General features: G+C 36.7%; 1 protein-coding gene across 1 annotated transcript in view; it reads right to left on the reverse strand.

Annotated features, from left to right (window-relative positions):
• Positions 1–15292, reverse strand: part of STAM2 (signal transducing adaptor molecule 2) — a 58963-nt gene that overhangs the window by 19183 nt on the left and 24488 nt on the right. The window contains exons 2-7 of the mRNA NM_005843.6: positions 14162–14246; positions 12242–12317; positions 12041–12139; positions 11179–11325; positions 8905–8974; positions 7844–8030 (exon numbers count right to left, since the gene is read on the reverse strand). Coding sequence (NP_005834.4) covers positions 7844–8030; positions 8905–8974; positions 11179–11325; positions 12041–12139; positions 12242–12317; positions 14162–14246 — 664 coding nt within the window. The remainder of the gene's footprint in view (positions 1–7843; positions 8031–8904; positions 8975–11178; positions 11326–12040; positions 12140–12241; positions 12318–14161; positions 14247–15292) is intronic.

Consider the following 15292-nt stretch of genomic DNA (forward strand, 5'->3'; position numbering starts at 1 on the left):
GGAGGCTGAGGCAGGAGAATCGCTTAAACCCGGGAGGAGGAGGTTGCAGTGAGCCAAGATGGCACCACTGCACTCCAGCCTGGGTGACACAGCAAGACTCGTCTCAAAAAAAAAAAAAAAAAAAATTAGAACCAATTAGCAATTAATCATTTTTTATTCTGGACTTTAAAAAAGTAAGGCCGGATGCAGTAGGTCATGCCTGTAATCCCAGCACTTTGGGAGGCCGAGGCGAGTGGATCACCTGAGGTCAGGAGTTCGAGACTAGCCTGGCCAACATGGCAAAACCCTGTCTCTATTAAAAATACAAAAATTAGCCGGGTGTGGTGGCAGGTGCCTGTAATCCCAGCAACTTGGGAGGCTGACGCAGGAGAATCGCTTGAACCAAGAAGGCAGAGGTTGCAGTGAGCTGAAATCACGTCACTGCACTCCAGCCTGGAGGATAGAGACTCTGTCTCAAAAAAAAAATAATAAAATTAAAAAATTAAAAAGTAAACAGGAAACACAAGTGCCCTTTAGTAATGACCCCAAATCCCAGCACCACATCCATCTTACCACACTGCCACAATAAAGTTGGTAGCCTTCTTGTCAGTCTGTTTTTTGTTCTTTTACACGTATCTATAGCCAAGTCCATATAGAAACAGACACAGATGCTAATCCATACAGACCTTTTTAATTTTATATATTAATACTTTCAAATTTTGCTTATTCCTTTTAAATTAAAATTCCAACACACGAATAGGCCATATTTATCCATTCCTGTAGAGATGGACATTTAGGTTGATTCCAGTCTTTCACCATTACAAAGATAAGGTAATGATCATCCTAGACTTGAGGACACCCATGCAACAATTTCTCTGCGCTTATTCACAGACGTGAACTTGCTGGGATTTAAGAATATAAACATTTTTCTTTTTTTTTTTTTTTTTTTTGAGACGAGGTCTTGCTGTGTCACCCAAGCTGGAGTGCAGTGGCACGATCTTGGCTCACTGCAACCTCTCCCTCCCAGATTCAAGAAATTCTCCTGTCACGGTCTCCCAAGTAGCTGGGACTACAGGTATGCACCACCACACCTATTTTTGTATTTTTAGTAGAGATGGGGTTTTGTCATGTTGGCCAGGCTGGTCTCAAACTTTATCTTAAGTGATCCGCCTGCCTCAGCCTCCCAAAGTGCTGGGATTACAGGTGTGAGCCACCGCACCCGGCCATAAGCATTTCATTTTACTAGATATTGCCAAATGTTCCCTAGAATGGCTGTGAAAATTCACCTTTCTCCTCCCCCCGGTTGCATGTAACAATGTCATCTTCCCTTATATGTGATAATTTTCCCAACTAACACTTGATAATCAGACAGGAGAGAAATCGTATTTCATTGTATGCACTTGCATTTCCCAAGCATCTACTTGTGCTTGCTAGCTATTCAGATTGCCTTTTCTGTAAACTGCCTTTTTTTTCGTATTTTTGCCCACTTTTCTTATTCTACTGGATCATTTGTCTTTTTTCATGGATCTGTAGAAGTTCTTTACACATTTTGGACAGCAGTTGTTTGTCTGAATTATGCAGAGAACTTCTTCTAGGCTGTCGCTGTCTTTTCAGCATATGTTTATGGTTTCTTTAACTGTACAGTGGTTTTTTCCCCTATGCAATCAAATTTGGCAATCTTTTCTTTCATGGCTTATGCTTTTACCCTTTTCTACCCTTAAACTCCTAAATCTATTCTCCTATATACTTAACTGTAGTTTTAGTTTTTTTATTTTTTTTTTCCCTCTCCCATGTTTAGGTCTTTAATTCATTTGGAATGAAATTTTAATGTACTATGTGAAACTGATCAAAATTTTATCTGTAGTATAAAAAGAGCCATTCATCACAGCAAAATTTATTAAATAGTCCACCATTTTTTCTAGTAATTTATAATACCCTACCTTTCAAACAGTAATCTATTCATGAGCCTATTTCTAGACTCCATTCTGTTGCAATAGTCCATGTATCTGTTCACACATCTTGTTAATGTACCTTAATATCTGCCAGGGAAAATACCCTTTCTATGTTACTCTTTCTCATTTATTGCACACCTTCAAATTTCCACATTAATATTAAATTACTTTTCAAGTTCTCTGGGGAAAAAGTCCTGTTGGGATTTGAACTGGAAATGCACTGAAATTATGCAATAATATAAGAAAAAAGAAATCTTTGCAATATTAAGGTTTCTTCCCTATGAACATGGTATCCTCCATTTACATTTATGTAAAACATAATATGTAAAAATATATTTATATTCTTTTATAGCTTTCAAATAATTTTATAATTTAATCCATAAAGACCTTACATATCTTTGTTAGGCTTATTCATTTCTAGATCATTTATATAATTTTTGTTACTACTGAGAATGACTTTTTTTTACTACATTTTCTAAAAAGTTGTAATTAAAGCATACTACTGAGTTTTGTATGTTGAGCTTGTATCCAACAACCTTTATGAACTCCTACCACTTGTAATAGTTTATCCATCGGACTCTTGAACTTTCTATATGGAAAATCATAGTATCTGGAAATAATGATAATTTTATCTATTCCTTTCCAAAAATCTGACTTATTGAATAGACATTCTTAAGTATGAGTCTTATGGATGAATTAATGTCTATGATTATGAAACATCATTTCATTTATGAGCACTAGAAAGAGACGAAAGAGTTATATATCATCCAAGTTCTTAAAGCCAGAAAATAACTGATGTATTGATGTACTGACAGTTCTAAGATATCATATCTGCAAATATCTATGGAAGATAGGAAAAATTTTCTTTCTCTTACAAACACATTTTTAAGTTAACTTTTCATTTTGAAAAGGAGAGCTGAACTTGAGAAATTTTTGTATAAAACGAGAAAACCCAAACCTGTGAAATGGATGCAAGCGTTTTATATGAACCTACCAACAACTGTATGTGTGTACCCTTCCTTAGTGGTTCTACCAATATAGGATAATTTTCCTCCCAGCCACTACTACAAACTCTTTGATGAAGCATAAAAGTAGGCAAAGCAACCAAATTGACAACTCCTTCCCAGCCCTAATCCAGCTCTATATTCTCTCCACTGACTACAAGTTGATTCTATGGAATGTTGATAGCAAAAAAACATTGTTCAAGCTTAAATTCTCAAATTAAAGAAATTGGCACTCTAATTTTACACAAACCATTTAATAATTAAAGAAAATTTTAATGTAGCATTTATATTTAGAGCTTTTTATATTAAAAAAAGAATAAATCACAACTGAGTGAAAAACAAAAAATGATACAAGTGTAAAGAACATAAACCTCACCTTCAACAAACATTATTCAGCTAACATTTATGAAAACCTACCATGGAGAAAATAGTACCTTCAGGCTAAGCACTGAAATTACAAAGATAATTAAGACACCATTTGTGCCCTCAAGAAGTTTAAAATCTAGCACAAAGCTGTAGTCCCAGCTACCCAGGAGGCTGAGGGAGGAGGCCTGCTTGAGGCCAGGAGTCCAGGCTGTAGCGTGCTATGCTCACGCCTGTGAATAACCACTGCACTCCAGCCTCGGTAACCCAGTCATACCCTATCTATAAAAACAAGAAAAAAAAATCTAGCAGTGTTTTACAATCTCTCCTACAGAACTGACTAAAAATATGTTATCTTGCTTTACCTTCAGAATTTTTCTCCTTTCTCCTTCCTCCCACCCAAGGAAGTCATGAGCCTCTTCAGAATCAACTGATTTAGTAGAGAGACATACGTAAAGAAGCGCAGTTTGCCCTCTGTATCTGGCAAGTGCTACATCCATGGACTCAACAAACCCCAAATCAAAAGTATTCATGAAAGATAAACAAAAATGACAATAGAACAACAAAAAAAATTTTTAATACAATATATTGTATTTAAAAATACAATATAATGATTTGCATAGCATTTACATTGTATCAGGTACTATAAGTTATCTAGAGATAATTTAAAGTATACAGGAAGATGTGTGTAAGTTATATGCAAATATGACGCCATTTTATATCGAAGACTTGCATCTGTGGATTTTGGTATCAACAGGGGTTCTGGAACCAACTCTCTAAGGAACTGAGAAATGACTCTATTTAAAATACAGTATGAGAAATGCTGTTACATATGTTCAGAGAGCTATAGCTCAAAGAAGAGAACTCTTAACTCCACTGGGAGCTAAAAAGCAGAGAAAGGTTGAAAGGCTTCTCAGAGGATATAAAATCTGACACGGGTTTTGAAGGTTAAGTAGGCACTTGCCAGGAGGAAAAGAAAATTAAGTCTGTGGAAATAAAAATGACATTTTGCCCTCCTGCCATTATTGATAAGCAAGAAAACAAGGCACGAACAAACAAAAAACTCTGCACTCTGAGATAAAACAAAAAATGTTACCATATTTAGTTTTAGGTCTCAAAGTACATAAAAACTTGAGCCTTTCCTTTTAACTACTGATTTCTTAACAAAAAGTACTCACCTGCTAACTTTTGCAATGACAATGACTGAAGGTAGTGATGTCCTTTATGGATATAATTATCACGTGAGAAAACTGCTATTTCTACCATGAACATATAAATAGCAAACCTGGAAAAACCTGGTAACCTTGTGGGGGTCTTTTCCTTAAAATACCTGTTTTACTTTTTAACATGGGGAGGCAACTTTTCTAAAGCCTGGACTCCCTTGCAAACTGTCCTTGAAAGTAAAGTTCTTTTCCTTTTCTAAATGCTTTTACCTCCTTCAGCAGGGCTTTCCAGGCAGACAGAACCAAAGGTGCAATGCTACAGAGGACTAAGCAGAAAATGGCATTTTTGGAACTGCAAGAATTCCACTTGATTATTTGAAATGGTACACAGAAAACAAACATGGAGTGGGCCAGGCACAGTGGCTCACGCCTGTAATCCCAGCACTGTGGGAGGCTGAGGCGGGTGGATCACTTGAGGCCAGGAGTTTGAGACCAGCCTGGCCAACATGATTAAACCCTGTCTCTACCCCTAAAAATACAAAAAATTAGCCGGGCATGGTGGTGCACACCTGAATTCCCAGCTACTCAGGAGGTTGAGGTGGGAGAATTGCTTGAACCTGGGAGGTGGAGGTTGCAGTGAGCCAAGATCACGCCATTGCACTCCAGCCTGGGCGACAGAGTGAGACCCTGTCTCAAAAAAAAAAAAAAAAAGAAAAGAAAAGAAACATGGAGTGGTAAGATAAAGCTAAAAGTGTAGAAAGTAAAACGCTTTTCTTGATATACTCCATTAATAAAAAATGTGCGCCTTTGGGCCGGCACAGTGGCTCACGCCTGTAATCCCAGCACTTTGGGAGGCCGAGATGGGCAGATTACCTGAGGTCAGGAGTTTGAGATCAGCCTGGCCAACATGGCGAAACCCTCTCTACTAAAAATACAAAAATTAGCTGGGCATGGTGGCGCATGCCTGTAATCCCAGCTCCTGGGGAGGCTGAGGCAGGAGAATCACTTGAACACAGGGGGCGGGGGTTGCAGTGAGCTGAGATGGCACCACTGCACTCCAGCCTGGGCGATAAAGCAAGACTCTGTCTCAAATAAATAAATAAGAAATGTGCACCTTTTCTATCAGCTCAATGTTTTTTTGTTTGTTTGTTTGTTTGTTTTTTTGAGACAGAGTCTCGCTCTGTCGCCCAGGCTGGAGTGCAATGGCACGATCTCGGCTCACTGCAACCTCCGCCTCCCGGGTTCCAGCGATTCTCCTGCCTCAGCCTCCCAAGTAGCTGGGACTACAGGCGTGCGCCACCATGCACGGCTAATTTTTGTATTTTTAGTAGAGACAGGGTTTCACCATATTGACCAGGGTGGTCTCGAACTCCTGACCTCGTGATCCGCCCGCCTCAGCCTCCCAAAGTGCTGGGATTACAGGTGTTAGCCACCACGCCCTGCCAGCTCCATGGTTCTTAAATGGAGATCCAAGAATGATATATTTTCAAGGGACTTCAAGGGACTTCTGTGTGTGAAAATTTTATGCTTCAAATTCCACAAAAGTATAAAAACAATGAATAGAGTCATTTTCTGGATGACTTCCTTTTAACCGAAGACTGTCATTTAACTTTAGCATGCAAGTTTGCATTTGTCTACCAGCGATTACCAATCACCTAAAATGACAATATTTTACCCATAAGCATGCTTACAGCAACTATAAAAGTAGGGTGTCCTATCGTCAAAATGACAGCAATTGACCTACAAATTCCATCACATTCATGTTGAATTCTCTTAGCAGTTACAAATAAAAAAGTTCTTTTTTGAGGTGATAAATCTTAACTGAAAATTGTTTTGTGAGCAGTAATTTATTTTAGAAAATTTTGTTATATAAAGTAATGCTCTAAATTAAAATCTTAGACAAAACCACTCATTTTGTTTTTATTTTATAAATATCTTTAACTTCATAGTTGTATAAGAGTATCAAAACGGTAAACCTAAGTTCTTTTGTAAGTACTCTAACTAAAAGACACTCATAAGCCTGACATTTCAGACTGTCAGTGTTCAGAGCCCACACTATCTCTCCATCTTTACAGACAGTGTCAAACTCATGATGGCATGACTTACGATGGTGCAAAAGTGATACACACTCAGATACCCATAAACCATTCTGGTTTTTACTTTCAGTACAGTATTCAATAAGTTACATGAGATATTCAATACTTTATTATAATAAATAGGTTTTGTGTTAGATGATTTTGCCCAACTGTAGGCTAATATAAGTTGAGAAACATCTGTATTTCTATCTATTCTCCTTCAGGGATCATGGTGTTCCACTCCAAATGATTATTTAAAAAATTTTTCTTTATGGAAAAAAGATTTTCTAAGTGAAGATGGTACTATCTTGATTGCCTAAGAGACCTTCCTTTTCCCATCCTCAACTTCTTGCAAAATTTTTTATCTTATCAAAACCAATCAAGATACACACCTGAAATGGAGCCGCAGGATAAGCCTTCTTTGCCAGATGCTTGCACCAAGTGTAAATCTGCTATCTGGGCTCCAACAGCACCTCTTTTATGGTATTCACCACATTCTGCCTTCCATACAATTGTCTATATGGTAATTTTAACTCCCTTATTTTATTCTAGGTTTTATGAAGACAGAACTGTGTCCTCATTTGTTATTAAATAGTTGATTACATAACATTTTCTCAAGAAATATTTACCACAGTAAAGTAAAACCATTATTTATCTACCCTTTATTTAAAAAATACTAGAAATATATTAGACTAGTGTGTTATAAATAACTAAGTTATTTATAATGGATACCAAATACATCTGCAATCTGTGTTCACAGCAACAAGCTTACTTCTCACTCTTGCTAAATTTCATGAATTTCTTTTAAAAGTACAGAACAGTATTAAGCTCTACAGAGATTGATCTATTTTTTATGACAGCTTTAAATGGCAGAGAAATTCTGAGGAGAATACAGTAGTAGATTAAGAATTGGGGAGGAGCCAAGTATAGCTTTTGGTGCTCTGATCAAGGGTATATTGCTGTATTTCTTCCTAAAGTTTTTCTGCCAATAATTTCAGTACACACAACTGCCAACGTAAACATATTCAAGTAACTGAGTATTTACATGTTTCCCAATTGTGGTCATCAACAATATTATTTAATACATCTTTCATCCAAGATATAAATTATCAAATATAACAAACATAAATTATCAAATATAACGAGAAGAGGCTCACATTACATGCCTAACTTTTATTTTAGAAAAAACAAGGTATGAAATGGTTCTATTATGATTTAAATACACTAAAAGTCAAAGAACTGAATACTCTGGATTCTAAATTAAGGGCATTACACTTTAAACCTTCCCATAAAGATTTAAAACTTACCTGTCATCCAAAACAATAATTATTTCACCATGTTTAAAGGTGAGTTCATTGTCCTCAACAGCTTCAAAATCATATAAAGCTCTCACTTTCCGTGCAACCTTATTATTTAACTGAATTTCTGAAGATGGATATAAGGATTTTGTTTCTGTGTGTTGCTGTTTCTGTTCTTGCAGCGATAATTCAATAGCTAGTTTCAAAAATTAAAATGCAAAGAAACTGGAATTAATTTTGATAAAATAAACATTAGATGACAATGTAAAATTTAATAAGAATAAATCAAGCATTTTATTTGTCTAATTACATGCTACAGTTAACTTTCGGGAGGGTGGGGCAGGGCAGGGAACCATGACATTTTTAAAATAAAGTTTTTGCTCATTCTTTATTATCACGGTCTGTCATACACAGCAGCAATTATTTTTATAGCAAACAGATTGTGACATTATAATATGGGTAGCTTTCCATATAGGATAAGCCATGAACATATTTCTCTGCTTGACTCATAACTTTGGCATTAAAAAAAGGTGAAATGTAATCTCTCCAAAGGTAGCACATCAAATACATATTACTGAAAAAAGATAATGAATTAAATTCATTTGATAGCATGTCATTTGTTTTCCTTACTTTTTGGATGCTACTAGTTTTTAGATTTGAGGTAAAAATAAAAGTATGCTAGTTTTATTATCATTTTTATTTCAAAAAAATGTTCTGGCAAATACATATATATATTTTTTGAGATGGAGTCTCACTCCATCGCCAGGCTGGAGCACAGTGGTGCCATCTTGGCTCACTGCAACCTCCGCCTCCTGGGTTCAAGCGATTCTCCTGCCTCAGCCTCCCGAGTAGTTGGGACTACAGGCGCCCGCCACCACGCCCAGCTAATTTTTGTACTTTTAGTAGAGATGGGGTTTCACCTTGTTGGTCAGGCTGGTCTCGATCTCTTGACCTCATGATCTGCCCACTTCGGCCTCCCAAAGTGCTGGGATTACAGGCGTGAGCCACCGCGCCCAGCCCTGGCAAAGATATTTTAAGCAACACTAAATTACATGTGCTTGATCATTTACCTTTAGCTATGTCTTCATCCTCTTTGTTTTTGTTCGATGACGTACCATTCTTGGCAGCAGCTGAGACAGTCTGTAAATGTATGAGTAAAATGAACACAACTATCTTTTCAAACAAAACACAAGCTCCATAATTACTTGCAGATGGTAAATTTTAAAAAATACTGATATAACTGAGTTTCATTTAAAAGTGAAGTTCTTTTTTGAGACAGGGTCTCATTCTGTCAGCCAGGTTGCAGTGCATGGCACAGTCATAGCTCACTGTAACCTCCAACTCCTGGGCTCAAGTGATCCTCTTGCCTCAGCCTCCTGGGAAGCCGGAACTAGAGGTGTATGCATCCACAACCGGCTAATTTTTATTTTTTGTAGAGACAGGGTCTCACTATGTTTCCTGGGCTGATCTGCAACTCTTAGCCTCAAGTGATTCTCCTGTCTCAGCCTACCAAAGTGCTAAGATTACAGGCATGAGCCACCATCACTGGTCTAAAAGTGAAGTTCTTTATAATAATTTTAAATAATTGTTTTCAAATACTAAAATAAAACATCAGATTTTTCAAGAAAACATTATAAACTCACACAGGGATCAAACTGGCTTAGATTTTGCATAAATGTAACACAGAACTTGGCATACAGAAAGTACTTAAATATTAATAGAATTTAAAAAAGACTCTTTTCTGATTGTATTCCCGATCTCAATTGTCCAAGGTCTCTTAGTGAGAGGAGCTCTGCTATAGGAGTACAGCTACACGAGGAGTGCCAGCAAGAAGTCATGATCATCACTGAAGAGAGAGGAATGGGGACAGAGACAAGAGGTGCAGTTCTAGGAATATGTGTGAAGTCCTTTTACTAGTTATTGTGGCTGGGTGGCAGTGGTCTGCCAGACATAGCAGAGAAGTAAGGAAGGTCATGCTTGAATTTAATAAACAGCATGTAAGACAGGTATCCAGGACTGATCCATCAACCGGTTCTTTACATAGATTTTTCAGAAAAATATGCAGAAAGGACAGAACAGGAAAATGTTTCCTTTTTATTACTTATAAGACTCTTATCTCAAAACGTTACCTTGTACCCTTAGGTCTGGTCAGCTATAAAGAATCTTTTTTCGGCCAGCGTGGTGGCTCATGCCTGTAATCCCAGCACTTTGAGAGGTCGAGGCAGGTGGATCACCTGAGGTCAGAAGTTTGAGACCAGCCTGGTCAACATGGTGAAACCCCGTCTCTACTAAAAATACAAAAAATTAGCCGGGCATGGTGGTAGGCACCTGCAATCCCAGCTACTCTAAAGGCGGAGGCAGGAGAATTGCTTAAACCCGGGAGACAGAGATTGCAGTGAGCTGAGGTTGTGCCACTGCACTCCAGCCTGGGCAACAAGAGCAAAACTCCATCTCAAAAAAAAAAAAAAAAAAATCTTTTTTTCTCTTTAATCTATGATTTAAAATAAAAGAAAATATAGTACTTCTCATCGTCTCTTTCCCTAGCCCATATCTTAATATTAATGGGAAGGAATAAGGTACTGAGAGCAAAACCCAAGGAATAGTATTTTTCTCCCCTAGACCTAAAAAAACCAGCCCACTCCATGAGTCAACATCCCTGCCTCCACACCCCAGTTCTACTAAAGCTATCCCTTCTCCCAGCAAATAAATTTCTAGTCTTACATTTCCATCCATCTTGTATGTGAAGCATTCACTCTAGGCATATTCACTCTTGAACAAACAAGTCTTGAGCCTCTCAATTCCATGAATTTGTTCATTTCACTTACCTCCTGATATGACTTCTTCACTTCTCTCTAACAAAATATTAATACATTCAAGTCTCAAAATTCTACCTCTTTACCTTCTTCACCATTCCAATCTGTAGTCACCTCTTTCTCTCTTTGGTATTAAGATAGACAGTATGCAGTCTATTCCCCTCATCCTGTATTTGTCACTTACAATCTAAATTAGTTATTTTTCACATGTATAAAGCTATCATTCAAATTTGCTACAAATTTCTTGAATATAAGGGGTATGTCATATACCTATGCCTTTTGCATGACTGTAGACTTAGAGGAACATTAAATACACTATGTCTGATTAACTTCACAAGGTTCTGATATGTGGAAGAAATACACATAAAAACTAGAATGTCTACTAAACGTAAGGAAGGCACTATGCTAGAGAGTCATTTGGGAAGTAAAGGTGGAAAATGATAATCTAGACATACCTTGCCTAGTCTTTACATAACATACATACCTTCAAAATATTATAGGGTCAACCATGGGTCTGAATAAATCTCTCACCTGAGAACCTGCTGGAGGAAAAGTAATTCCTTCTTCTTTCATAGATTTAATAGTTGCAGATATCAGACTAAACTGAGGGTCCTTCTGAAATTCTTCTGACCACTCCACCATTAAAGATTTCAGTTTTTCACATACTTTAGGATGTGCCTTTTAAGGAAAAGGAAAGGAAAATAAACAAAAATCTACGGTTAAAATAAGTACTTAAATTATTTAACAAGGAGAATTACCATCAAAATTCTCTTTAATTATATGAACATCAACAAAAGTCCTGAAATTTCTAGCCTAGTTGAGTAATTGATAGATGCCTATTTACATGTTGTGATATAGTTGTTTCATACAAAATGACTGTTTTTAACACCAATTCCTAAGTCTTACTATAATGACAACAGATCTTTTATATTCAGAGATTATTTCCTCCATGTTTCGGAGAATGGAGCCAGAGAAACCTGGATGTAAATCATGGCTATTCCAGTTACCAGCTGCATGACCTTGGACAAGTTACTTCTAAGTCTCAGTTTTTGCATTTATAAAATAAGAATGATAAGGGAATCTAACTTCCAAGAATCTAATGCTCCAAGGGTAGTTAAGAGCATTCAACAAGACAGTATATGTAAAATGCTTAAAGTAATGACTACTTACTAGCCCTCAAAAAGGATTTGCTATTATTTACAGTATATATACTTTGGGGAGAATAGTTTTTGGTGCTACACATTAAAAAATCAAATTTCAGAACAGTTTATTTCATTTCAATGATCTAAAAATGACTTCATTTATAATACTTTAGTAATGCCACATATAGTTATAATGACACACAATCTACATTTTTTTAATGACTTAAAGTTCTTCTGTTTTTAAAATTTACCTTATTTTTAATCACAGCACGTACTTCTGTTGCAAAATCACGGGAACATACTTCTAAATGAAATATCTTTCCACAGTTTGCCACACAAGCCCCAAGAAGCTATTAATTGAAATAAAAATATATGAATATTGAAATATTAACTTACTGTAATTAAAAACACATTTAAAATTTGCGTCAAATAATAACATGCCTTGTACTCACAGTTAGTGCTTGCAGAGCAACATGTGGAACCTTATGATTTACCCTTTTCATTATGGCTTTTAGGCAATCTTTCGCTCTAAAAAAAAAAAGAGAGAGAGAGACAGTTAAGTATTTACTGATAAATTTAATTCAAACATTAAGGTATTATTCTATTACCAAATAATTTTATATTTAATGGCTCATGCCTGTAATTCCAACACTTCGGGAAGCCAAGGCGGGAGGATCACTTGAGCCCATGAATTTGAGACCAGCCTGGAAAACAAAGTAAGATCTCATCTCTATAAAAAACTTAAAAATTAGCTGGGCATGGTGGCATGTGTCTGTACTCCTAGCTACTCAGGAGGCTGAGGCAAGAGGACTGCTTGAGCCCAGGAAGCTGCTGTGAGCTGTGTCATGCCACTATACTCCAGCCTGGATGACAGAGACCGTGTCTCAAAATAAAGAAAGTATAAAATAAAAATAAACTAAACTAAAATCCTGGAAATTTCATATTGTTAAAGGAATAAATCTATAAAATGATTTTACACAATATTTTGTTTATAGGCTCATAGAACTTTAAAAAAAAAAAGCATGTTGCAAATGTTGTGTATTCCAAAATTAAGAGACAAACCATTTCACAAAAGATCTGTCAACACAAGAGACGTATACCAGATCTTTCTATTTCTTCAAGACAGGTTTAGCTTTCAAACAGCAAAAGCTTATCTTGAAAAAAATCTAACATGATATACAATTTTAAGAGGTTCAAGTATAAACATGTGAATGTACTATGAAAAGCTTTAATGTTAAAACAAATGCTTTCATCACTCTTCTAAATTTCTAACATATAGTTCAGCTAATTGCCACATCTCCCCAAAAGCACTTTTTTATATTCACTTTTTTCATTGTTAATCTATTATATTTATATGTATATTATTTGAAGACTTTTTTGTTATATTATCTACTGTGTTATCTACTTCATTATTTAAAAGTTCCCATACATATAGAAGTCCCAGAGGAATTCCTTAAATAACTCACCTATACATTGTTATCATGTATCCTATTGTGTCAAGGCTTTAATTATGTGTGTTACTATAGCAGATTTTCAGTTGAACTCTTTTTCATGTAAATTAATCCCATAAATCCAGCATTCAGGCTTTTTTAACTTTTATGTCCCAAAAGTAAAACAACTGACCCTTTAACTACATGAAAGTTAAGGACACCAACACCCCACGCAGCCGAAAATCTGTGTATAACTTTTGATTCCCCAAAAACTTCACTATTAATAGTCTACTCTTTTTTTTTTTTTTTTTTTGAGACAGAGTCTCGCTCTACCGTCCAGGCTGGAGTGCAGTGGTGCCATCTCGGCTCACTGCAAGCTCTGCCTCCTGGGTTCAAGCGATTTTCCTGTCTCAGCATCTCAAGTAGCTGGGATTACAGGCGCACACCATTATGTCCAGCTAAGTTTTGTATTTCTAGTAGAGATGGGGTTTCACCATGTTGGCCAGGCTGGTTTCGAACTCCTGACCTCAAGTGATCTGCTCGCCTCGGCCTCTCAAAGTTCTGGGATTATAGGCGTGAGCCACTGCGCCCAGCCAACTAACAGCCTACTCTTGACCAGAAGCCTCACCAATACCATAAACAGTAGATGGACATATATTTTGTATATACATAATATACTGTATTCTTACAATAAGGTAAGCTAGAGAAAAAAAAATGTTGTTAAGGAAATCATGAGTTGGAGGAAGAGGGGTTGGTCTTGCTGTCTTAGAGGTAGCAGAGGTGGAAGAAAACCTATGTATAAGTGAACCCTCGCAGTTTAAATCTGTGTTGTTCAAGGGTCAACTGTGATAAAGTCTCATTTTCCTCTCAAAGTTACATCACAAAAAGAGACACTGGTTATCAAGTTCCTAGACATTCACTGAGCATGACTGGACATCTTACCCATTAGGAGTACTTCCAACTTTGTCACATATGTCCATAATAAGACTCCAATCTTCTGTAGTGTTGTACTCATTCGTGGCTTTTTCTATAAAATATATTGGCATACACAACAATGAGGACACATCTCATATAACACTAAAATACCAGTAAAGGTCCAACAGTTAAGAAATCCTACCTTTTCTATTGCCGAAGATACTACAGACGACCTTCAGAAGACAAAAGTACTTCTACTAACTTCAATTTTAAATTGTATAATTAAATGAACTAAATATCTTGAGGTAAAGCAATAAAATGCCTTCTAAATAAACAAATTACTAAGTATCAATAATCCCATCAAATTCTAATTTGGAAGAAAGTTTTAAAGATGTATAATCCAGGCCGGGCATGGTGGCTCATGCCTGTAATCCCAGGCATGGGAGGCCAAGGCAGGAAGATCGTTTGAGGCCAGGAGTTCGAGACCAGCCTGGGCAATATAGATAGACCCTGTTTCTACGAAAAATAAATTTTAAAAATTAGCCAGGCATGGTGGCAAATGCCTGTAATCTTAGCTACTTGGGAGGCTGAAATGGGAGGATTGCTTGAGCCTATGACCTCAAGGCTGCAGTGAGCTATTATCATGCTACCGCACTCCAGCCTGGATGACAGGGTGAGACTCTACCTCTTAAAAAAATTAGAAAGTATATCATACAAGTAAATATGCACTACACTGTCCAATAAAGCATTGGTTTTGTAAATTTTTTTAATAGATAAGGGGTCTCACTATGTTGCCCAGGCTGGTCTTGAACTCCTGGGCTCATGGAATCCTCCTTGGCTCCCAAATGTTGGGATTACAGGCCACTGCACCCAGCCTGAAGCACTGTTTTCAATAGCAAAAAGGAAAATTGATTAATAAATTCATACAACGAAATATGAAATGAGGAATACAAAATTAAATGAACAAAAATTTATGAATCTCAAAATATGATTTGCTTGGGCTTATAACGCTGAGTCAAAAAAGCTAACAGCAGAAGAATTTATAATATTTACATGAGTTCTTTTTTTTTTTTTTTTTTCGACAGTGTCTTGCTCTGTTGCCCAGGCTGGCTGGAGTGCAATGGCACGATCTCAGCTCACTGCAACCTCCACCTCCCA

Source organism: Homo sapiens, chromosome 2 (genome assembly GCF_000001405.40).
Source record: "Homo sapiens chromosome 2, GRCh38.p14 Primary Assembly".
NCBI lineage: Eukaryota > Metazoa > Chordata > Mammalia > Primates > Hominidae > Homo > Homo sapiens.